We start from the raw sequence: 10037 nt of genomic DNA, 5'->3' as shown, positions 1-10037 counted from the left end.
TTTGCTGAAATCTCTTGTTTCAAGAGAAAGATGGTGAAACCACCATCCCCCACATTTGTTCCTGGGGAATTATTCCTTTTTTAACTTCTCCACTTTTATTTTGGTGGTGCATCAGGAGCAATGGGAGACAAAGGCTGGGCCTGCTGGTCTATCTTGACCTGGGAGTGCTGAATGCCTGGATTCCAATAGCAGTGACTGGTGGGCACCTCATTTCACAGATTTTAAATAGTAATGAGTTTACATGAAAATAAAGTAGTTTTGTATAAGGTAACTTAAAATCATGCAATTTACACAAAGCAAAATGGTACTGCCTTTACAGAATTTAAATAGATTTAAAGTAGGTTCTAAATTCTAATGGCTGCTGGGAACTACATTTAAAAGATGGCTTTGAATTCCTTACCACGGCCACATCTCACAATGACCCAATGAGTCATTGCCGACTCTTTGCAGATGAGAAAACGGAAGATGAGAGAGATCGAATGACTTGTTCAAGGACACACAGTCGGGAAGTAGCATCTCCCAGGTAAGTTGCCAGGATTTAGCAGGGCTGAGGTCAGGGTGGAATCTGGAAGACAAACTTCAATTTAAAAGGGCCTGAACCTATAAACGAGAGAAAATATTTGTAAATCGTATATTTCATAAGAAATTTGTATCCAAAATATATAAAAATCTCTACAACTCAATAGTAAAAACACAAATAACTCAATGAAAAACTGGGCAAAGGGCCAGGTGCAGTGGCTCTCGCCTGTAATCCCAGCAGTTTGGGAGACCAATGCTGGCAGACTGCTTGAGCCCAGGAGTCAAAGACCAGCCTGGGAAACACAGAAAAACCCCACCTCTACAAAAAACATAAAAATTAGTCAGGCAGGGTGGCACGAACGTATAGTCCCAGCTACTCAGGAGGCTGAGGTGAGAGGATCACTTGAGCCTGGGAGGTCGAGGCTGCAGTGAGCCGAGATGGAGCCACTGCACTCCAGCCTGGACAACAGAGTGAGACCCTGTCTCAAAAAAGAAAAAAGAAAAAAACTGGACAAAGGATCCGGATAGACATTTCTTCAAAGAAGGTATACAATGGCCAGTATGTGAATTCTATCTCAATAAAACTGGTTTTTAAAAGAAAAGAAAGAGGAAAGCTAGTTGGGAATAAAAAGAGGTCATGAAACTAGAATATCTTGGTCGTGGTTCAGTGATGGGATGGATGGAGAGGGGAGAACCAGGGCCAGCTGAAGTAGGGGTGGGGACAAGAGAGTCCTTATCAGGAGTAGGGAGGTGGGTGCACAGGAGGAGACAGGACCAAGAGGACAAGTCAGTGAGTCATTTTAACAGTTACCCCTATCCTTTGGGTGGCCATACCTGACTTAGAGTGGCAGTAATCCTTGCTTTATGGTGGCTGCGCCCACCTTCCCCCACGCTGGGGCAGGATGTGGTCCTCTCCTGGGAAAGCTCCTCCCACCCTCACCCACCCCTACCTCCCAAGAACAGGCTCCACTTTTTTTTTGTTGTTGTTGAGATGGAGTCTTGCTCTGTCACGCAGGCTGGAGTGGCATGGTCTCAGATCACTGCAACCTCCATCTCCCAGGTTCAAGTGGTTCTCCTGCCTCAGCCTCCCGAATAGCTGGGATTACATTACAGATGTGAGCCACCATGCCTGGCTAATTTTTGTATTTTTAGTAGAGACGGGGTTTCACCATGCTGGCCAGGCTGGTCTCAAACTCCTGACCTCAAGTGATCTGCTTGCCTCAGCCTCCCAAAGTGATGGAATTATAGGCATGAGCCACTGCACCCAGCCAGGCTCCTCTTGGAATAACAGTTAACATTCATGGCAGGCACTGGGATAAACCCTTACCAAATTGTGTTTGCTTTTGAGACAGGATCTCGTCTGTCATCCAGCCTGGAGTGCAGTGGTGCAATCACAGCTCACTGCAGCCTTGACCTCCTGGGCTCAAGCAATCCTCTCACCTCAGCCTCCCAATTAGGACCAGAGGCATGCACCACCATGCTTGGCTAATTTTTTATTTTTGTGTTTTGTAGAGACGGGGTTTCTTTATGTTGCCCAGACTGGTCTCAGACTCCTGGCCTCAAGGGCTCCTCCCACCCCAGCCTCCCAAAGTTCTGGGATTACAGGTGTGAGCCACTGCGCTAGGCCAATATATATTTTTTATTATAGAACACTTTAAACACCCACAAAAGTAGACAGGATGGTCTAATGACCGCACCATGTACCTATGCCAGCTTCAACTGCTATCAATGTTTTCCTAGTCTTGTTTCATGTATGCAATCCATACCACCACATGCTCAACTCTGTGCTTACCTACGTGATCTTGTGGAATCCTTAGAACAAGCCCATGAAGTAAGTGCTCCACTTAACCCCATTTTTCAGACGAGGACACTGAGGCTCAAAGAGATAATGGTCACTTTCCTAAAGAGGCAGCAATGCTGGAATTCAAACCCAGGACCCTTTGATTCCGGATCCTGAGTGTTGTTGTTGTTTGAGATAGCCTTGCTGTGTCGCCCAGACAGGAGTGCAGTGGTACAGTCTCAGCTCACCACAACCTCCACCTCCCAGGTTCAAGCGATTCTCATGCCTCAGCCTCCCGAGTAGCTGGGATTACATATGCACACCACCACGCCTGGTTAATTTTCGTTTTTTTTTTTTTTTTTTTTTAGTAGAGACAAGATTTCACCATATTGGCCAGGCTGGTCTCGAATTCCTGACCTCAAGTGATCTGCCTGCCTCAACCTCCCAAAGTGCTGGGATTACAGGTGTGAGCCACCATGCCTGGCCCAGATTCTGTGTTTTTATACCATCCTCAGCTGCTTGCCAAAGAAGGATAAAGAAGGATGCTCCCATGTTCCCACCAGCAAACCCCAATCCCAACACTATGCCTCTTGCCATCCTCCTTCGCCAGTAAGTGGGCTGGTTGACTCATCTTGGAATGAGTGTTGAACCAGGGAGGCTAAGAGCTGCCTGTGCCAGGATGGAGAGCCTGAAGCAGGTGTTCTGCTACAGCTGACTGTGACCTTAGGCAGGTCGATGTCTCTCTCTTCAGATTTCTCCTCTGTCAAGTGGGAATAAGACTAACTCATCGAATCATTGTTGGGTTCCAAGAATACAAAAAATGAAAAATGCCTGGCCCATGGTAGGTGCTCTGTAAATGGTAGCCATTACTTCTTTTTTTAACAACAGGAAAGTCATATTGGCTTTTTGGATGAATCTGCAGGCAAATCTAAGTGCAGCAGTTAGGGTGGGGTAGGGGGTAGGCAGAGTAGGGAGAGCCAAACCCATCTGGGAGGAGCTTGTTTGGTTGGGGTGGAGCTCTTTAGAAGTCCAGAGACCTTGTCCTTTTTTTTTTTTTAGACGGAGTATCGCTCTGTCACCCAGGCTGGAGTGCAGTGGTGCAATCTCAGCTCACTGCAACCTCTGCCTCCTGGGTTCAAGTGAATCTCCTGCCTCAGCCTTCCAAGTAGCTGGTATTACAGGCCTATGCCACCACACCAGGCTAATTTTTGCACTTTTAGTAGAGACGGGGTTTCACCATGTTGCCCAGGCTGGTCTCAAACTCCTGACCTTGGCCTCCCAAAGTGCTGGCATTACAGGCGTGAGCCACCGCACCTGGCCTCATATCTTATCCATTCTTTAGTGTCTCAGTGACTGTAAACCCCCAGCACTGGGAATTCAGGATGTCCCTGGTCCAGACTCCATTACAGCGCTGGCTCTGCAGTAATAATGACTATGAATAATGACTGCCATAATCTAGGCCTTCACTACGTGCCTGACCCTGGGGCTTACTCTGACTAATAGAATGCACTGGAAGTGACATTTTGTGATTCCCATGCTAAATCTTAAGAGATCTGCAGCTTCCACCTTCACTTCTTGAAATGCCCCTCCTTGGAATCCCGCCACCATGCTGTGAGGAAGCTCAGGCAGCCATGTGGAGAGGTCCATGTGGAAGAAAACAGAGGTCCCTGGCCTATAGCTCAGGTAAAGATTCCAGGTGCATCAACTGTCAGCTCTGTAAGGGAGGCGATTTTGGATAGCCCACGCCTCCCAGGACCTCAGCTTACACTACTTGGAGCAGGATTATTACCTGGCCAACCCATAGTATAATGAGAAATAGAAAATAGCTGTTTTTTTAAAGCATAAATTTGGGGGCTGGTTGTTATGCAGCAATAGGTATCCAAAACATCCCATTTTAATGATGTGGAAACAGAGGCTCAGAGTGATAAATAACACGCCCAGCGTCATAGCTAGGATTTATGGAATCTGGATTCAATTCAAAGTCTGCCTAACTTCTTTTCCTTTTCCTTTGTTTTTGCTACTGGCAGGATCAACCAGGTAAGGCCTACCTAACTTCAAGACCTGGGGTTGGCTGGGCAAGGTGGCTCATGCCTGTAATCCCAGCACTTCGAGAGGCCAAGGTGGGAGAATTGCTTGAGCCTAGGAGTTTGAGACCAGCCTGGGCAATATAGTGAGACCCCTGTCTCTACCCCACCAAAAAAAAAAATCTGAAAATTAGCCGAACTTGGTGGTGCACACGTGTAGTCCCAGTTACTTGGGAGGCTGAGGTGGGAGGATTGCTTGAGCCCGGAGGCAGAGGTTGCAGTGAGCCAAGATTGTGGCACTGCACTCCATCCTGGGAGACAGAGCAAGACCCTGTCTCAATAAAAATTAAAAAATAAAATTTTTAAAAACCTACTGTCTTCTGAGAGCAAGATATTGCCTCTACTGTTTAGTCTTTGGAACAGCCTAGGGCTGGATGACACAACACCCATTTCAGAGAAGAAACAGACCCAGGGAGAAAGAAGAAAGATCCGATTCTATGCATGGGGTCCCGAAGCTTGTCCTCCACCCCAATAGCTGCACCCCTACCTGAATGCATATGTGACATGCAGCTGTCTGTCTATGTCTCTCTAGGTGTCTGTGTATCTGTGAGCATGTGGTGTATGTGTGCGCTGTCATGGTGGTGTGTATTGATATGTACCTGTGGTGCGATTGTGTGCGGGGGAGGGGGGAGCCTGTATAGCATGTGGCACGTGTTCATCTGTGTTTTCGTGCGTGTGCGAGAGGGTGTGGTATATATGGAGGCCCGTCTGTGTGAGTGGTGTGGGTGTGTGAGCATGTGTGCGTGGAATGTGTGTGAGATGGGTGGCGTATGGCGCAGTGTGTGTTCCAGAAGAGGAGACCCAGTGCCTGGTCTTGGTCCTGTTTTCCCTCCTCAAGCATCCCAGCATCTTGCTGACACTGATCTGGGTCTGGGAACATCTTTCCTGAATAAACATGATGTCATTTCCATTCCATTCAGCCTGCGCCGGGACAGCTGCTGTCAGCATCACTGAGGGAAATGCCACCTCGGCCCTGACAGCTGCCACTTGGCACACTTTGTAGAGAGCTTCTCCGGGAAGGAAAAAACCAGCCAGTCATGCAGATGCTATTTAAAGTATGTTGCATCTTGATGAGAAATGTAGAGGAAGCTAGAGTGTGCTGGGGGTGGGGAGAGTAGCTCAGGACCCTGGGCTGGGTGTAGGGAAGGCTCGGGTGACCAAGATACAGGCTCCATGTATCTCAAGCTAAATCTCTTCCTACCTTCCATTTTACAGATGAGGAAACTGAGGCCAAGACAGGGGCAGGGGCTGGCCCAAGATCACAGAGCAAGTCAGAATTGCAGAATATGAGAGCAGGACATCATGATCAAAATCTTCAAATCTAACACCCATATTGTACCAATGGAGAAACTTCGGCCCAGAAAGGAGAAGCAATTTGCCCACGTCCATGCAGAAAATCAGTGGCAGAGCTGGGATCTGAGCCCAGGTTTGAGGCATGGGTATTTGATCTTTGGCTTGAACACACTGACAACCTCTGTCTTGCATACAGTAGGAGCGAAACAAATATTTGTTAAATGACTCACATTGTTTTGGATAACTTAGAAGTGCACTGAATTGTTCCATCCTTTTCCCTTCCTTTCAGATCCAGGAGCACCATGTGCCTGCCCTATACAGCTGCTCTGGGGGCTTCCCCCATGCTGGAATTGGTTTCTACTCCACCAGGAAGTATGTAAGTTGCTTCTGGTCAGAGAAGGGGACTTCTCACTCTTTCAAGTTGGCGCCTTGAGAGTTCAGCAAACCTAGGCCCAAGTTTGACCCCTGCTCTCTAGCTGATCTCTCTACCCTGTCCAAACTCCAAACAGTGTCATTTAAGGCTGTTCATCATTCTGCCTCTTTATACCTTTTCTTGCTCGTCCCCCATCTTGTTCCATTAACCGCTGATCCTGTAATGTCTCATTCTCCCTGAGTAAGCTATATTCTTTCATACCTCCATATACTTTTGCATGTGCTTTTGCCTAGAAGGACATTTCTCTGCCTGTCAAACTCCTATTCATCCTTCAAGACCCCACTCTGATATCAGTCCCTCTCAGAAACAGAGTCACTAATCTGGGGCTCACAGGCTCTCTTGGACATCCCTTGATCTAGTAAGTTAAAATTAATGATATGATTCTCTTTACAAGTTCAAGAGCTCACTAGTGGCAGGAACAGAGGCTGAGCAATGTCTGTTTTCCCAGCATCCAACTCAGAACCTGAAACAGAACAGGTTCTGAAGGAATGTTTAGTGAATGAATGCCCTGCACGGTGACTCACTAATGGGCCCTGGCCCAGAAGGCCAGGCTGTCCCCAGAGAAGCAAAAGGAAAGAATGACACCAGCATGGCATTGAGTTCCAGGCCTAATTAGAAGCCAACCTCTAGTAATTCATAAAATTCAGCCAAGTTTGTCTTCAAGATCTTACCTCCATCCTTTCTGGGCCACCTCACCTTCCCACTATCACACCCAGTCCTGCTGCCTCTCTGATGCATAAATCACCCACCAGGCTCTCTCTCTCTCTCGGGGGCCCAAGGCTTCAAAATAACTTATTTCTCCCTTAACCTCCAGAGAAATTCTTTTACTCTAATTGAGACCAATTGTCTTGGATGTTGGAAAAGCAACCTGATTAAACATGTTCATAATGACACATGAAGGACTTGTATGCCATCCAACTTTCTTAGAGATGTTGGCAAAAAAGGAAGGAGGAGGGAAGGAAGGAGTTGGGAAATATTGTTAACAATGAGATTTAACAATAAAGCAGAATTGGAAGTAAACTCAGACAAGAAGCACTTTCCTAATGTTTACAAAAGCTTTGAGGCTGGGTGCGGTGGCTCACGCCTGTAACCCCAGTGCTTTGGGAGGCTGAGGTGGGCAGATCACTTGAGGTCATGGGTTCGAGACCAGCCTGGCCAACATGGTGAAACCCTGTCTGTACTAAAAATACAAAAATTCATCGGGTGTGGTGGTGAGCACTGTAATCCCAGCTGCTTGGGAGGCTGAGGGAGGAGAATCACTTGAACCCAGCAGGCAGAGGTTGCAGTGAGCTGTGATCACCCCATTGCACTCCAGCCGGGGCAACAGAGGGAGACTCTGTCTCAAAAAAAAAAAAAAAAAAAAGCTTTGAATGGCCCAAAATATGCATAATGGATTCCCTGTGGTTCCGTTACTCTCTGTCATTCTGTCTGACTTCTTTAGCATATTCCTGCTATTTGATAATCACTCTGATAGAAACCAGCTTTGTGGATATGTAAAATTCAGATGCTTATGTTTAACTTATTAAAAACATACATCGTATTTATTTTACTTTTGATGTATTGAAAGCATAGCATAGGCAAGGCTGGGCACGTTGGCTCACACCTGTAATCCTAGCACTTTGGGAGGCTGAGATGGGTGGATCACCTGAGGTCAGGAGTTCGAGACCAGCCTGGCCAACATGGTGAAACCTTGTCTTTACTAAAAATACAAAAATTAGCCAGGCATGATGGTGCATGCCTGTAATTCCAGCTGCTCGGGAAGCTGAAGCAGGAGAATCACTTGAACTGGGGAGGTGGAGCTTGCAGTGAGCCAAGTTCATGCCATTGCACTCCAGCCTGGTGACAGGGCAGGACTCCATCTCAAAAAAAAAAAAGAAAAAGAAAAAAAAGAAGAAAAAGAAAAAAATTATTTGCTTTTTTCGAAGTCTGACATGTACACTGCTGGTGCACAAACAATGGTAGTTACACAGATCCAGGCAGTGGCACCAAACTGCACTAACAATCATTGCATCCTTCACCACCACACACTTTTAACACTGTGGTTTTTAAAAAATGCCCTGATGAATCGATAAATATTATGACTATTATTAAACCCTAGACACTTCTTTTTACTACACTGTGTGAAAAAATGGGAAGTAGCATATAAAGCCCTTCTGTTGCAAATTTCAATACAATGGTTGTCTCAATAAAAAGCACTTGTATGATTATGTGAATTACAGCTGAACCACCCACTTCTTTCCTACAACAACACTTGTACTTGAAAGCATGATTAAGAGATAAATTTGGGTTAATCAGACTTGGGTGTTTGGCAGACATTTTCTCAAAAGTCAAAGAAGTGAGCCTGTCACTTTAAGGAAATCAACTATTAGTATTCATTGCCAACAATAAAATTTGAAGTTTCAAGAGAAAACTGAGTTTAATAGCTTCTTTATACTTAAAGACTGATGAGATATTGTCAAGTGTGATTTTTTAAATATTGTCTATTGGGATGTGTCAATATTTGGAAAATCTGCATAATTCAGTAAACCAGTATTTTCCAAATGACAATTCATGGTGTTACAAAATCATGCATAAGTAAAAGATTCATTCAGAATGCAAGGTGGATTTCATGGAACATCATGAAAAGTTTATTGATAGGATTCAAAGTCTACATTGCAACTAACGTTGAAAAGGCTACTACTTGTCAAGTTTTGGTGTACTATCAAAGCATAATATCCATAATTTGTCTTAAAAAGCTAGGAAAATACTCCTCCCTTTTCCAACTACATGTTTGCATGAGACCAGATTTTTTTCCATATACTTCAATCCAAACAACACATCACGACAGACTGAACACCACAGCAAATACAAGAATCGAGTTTTCTTCTATTAAGCAAAACATTAGAGAGATTTGCAAAAATGTAAAACAATGCCACGCTTCTCACTAAACTATTGTTTTGGAAAATGTTGTTTTTCATAAGAATTGGGCTTTTTATGTTAGCAGGTAATGGATTGTTCTTTTTCAATGAATAAATACTTTTTTTTCTTTTTTTTGAGACAGAGTCTTGCTCTGTCACCCAGGCTGGAGTGCGGTGGTGAAATCTTGGCTCACTGCAACTCCACTTCCCCGGTTCAAGCAATTCTACTGCCTCAGCCTCCTGAGTAGCTGGGACTACAGGCGCCACCACACCTGGCTAATTTTTGTATTTTTAGTAGAGATGGGGTTTCACCATGTTGGCCAGTCTGGTCTCGAACTGCTGACCTCTAGTGATCCACCCACCTCGGCCTCCTAAATTGTTGAGATTACAGGGGTGAGTCACCACACCCAGTCAATAAATACATATTTTAAAGTTTTTAGTTTTAATTGTTAATATGGTAAATATCAATAAATATATACAACATGAATAAAAACTCTTTGACCTATAATAAATTTTATAAGTATAAAGGGGTTCAGAGACCAAATGTTTGAGATCCACTGAATAGGGTAATTATCTCCATTTTATAAACCGAGAAGCTGAGGTTCAGGGAGGCAAAGTGACTTCTCATCAGCCACCCAACCAGTGGATGGCAAACCCTGATTCCAAAGCCCATGTTCTTCCCCACTGCTCTCTGCTTTTTGGTTTGACTTTCAAGAATCATTGCAACAATTGCAGGAATCCTGCTTTGCAGCTTTCAAAAGGCTTTCACTTCCATTATCTGCTCTGATTATCACAACAGCCTGGAGAGGTTGAAATTATTTACATTCTTTCTGAATAGACAGGGATACTGAGGCTCAGAGAGGTGTAATGTCTTTACCCAAGGCCCCACTGGGAGGAGCAAAACTGGGATTCGAGCCAGGCTGATCTGACTATAGAATTTGCCTTCTCCAGGACATTCTGTGGTGACCCAATGGATGTACCATCTGCACAGGTCTTCATGCAATCACTTGTTGAAAACACTTTGCTTCAAG

General features: G+C 45.0%; 1 long non-coding RNA gene across 1 annotated transcript in view, besides 3 other annotated features; it reads right to left on the bottom strand.

Annotated features, from left to right (window-relative positions):
• Positions 1-386: 386 nt before the first annotated feature.
• Positions 387-10037, bottom strand: part of LOC107987037 (uncharacterized) — a 48715-nt gene continuing 39064 nt past the window's right edge. Inside the window, exon 3 of the long non-coding RNA XR_001746580.2 lies at positions 387-565. This is a non-coding gene — a long non-coding RNA (uncharacterized LOC107987037). The remainder of the gene's footprint in view (positions 566-10037) is intronic.
• Positions 5066-6265: an enhancer, noted in NCBI's record as "P300/CBP strongly-dependent group 1 enhancer chr9:126840763-126841962 (GRCh37/hg19 assembly coordinates)". NCBI's record gives its function as "activates an origin of replication core promoter dependent on BRD2, BRD4, P300/CBP, MED14 and CDK7 cofactors, with strong dependence on P300/CBP, by STARR-seq in HCT116 cells {active_cell/tissue: HCT116}" and the evidence as "EXISTENCE:reporter gene assay evidence [ECO:0000049][PMID:35650434]".
• Positions 5765-6059: a silencer, noted in NCBI's record as "tiled region #10835; K562 Repressive non-DNase unmatched - State 21:Repr". NCBI's record gives its function as "represses a minimal TATA promoter and a strong SV40 promoter by Sharpr-MPRA in K562 cells {active_cell/tissue: K562}" and the evidence as "EXISTENCE:reporter gene assay evidence [ECO:0000049][PMID:27701403]".
• Positions 5765-6059: an enhancer, noted in NCBI's record as "tiled region #10835; HepG2 Activating DNase matched - State 8:EnhW". NCBI's record gives its function as "activates a minimal TATA promoter and a strong SV40 promoter by Sharpr-MPRA in HepG2 cells {active_cell/tissue: HepG2}" and the evidence as "EXISTENCE:reporter gene assay evidence [ECO:0000049][PMID:27701403]".

The sequence above is a fragment of the Homo sapiens genome, chromosome 9 (assembly GCF_000001405.40).
Source record: "Homo sapiens chromosome 9, GRCh38.p14 Primary Assembly".
Taxonomy (NCBI): domain Eukaryota; kingdom Metazoa; phylum Chordata; class Mammalia; order Primates; family Hominidae; genus Homo; species Homo sapiens.
Note: the sequence above shows the minus strand (reverse complement) of the source record. Positions and strands in the feature narration are given on the sequence as shown.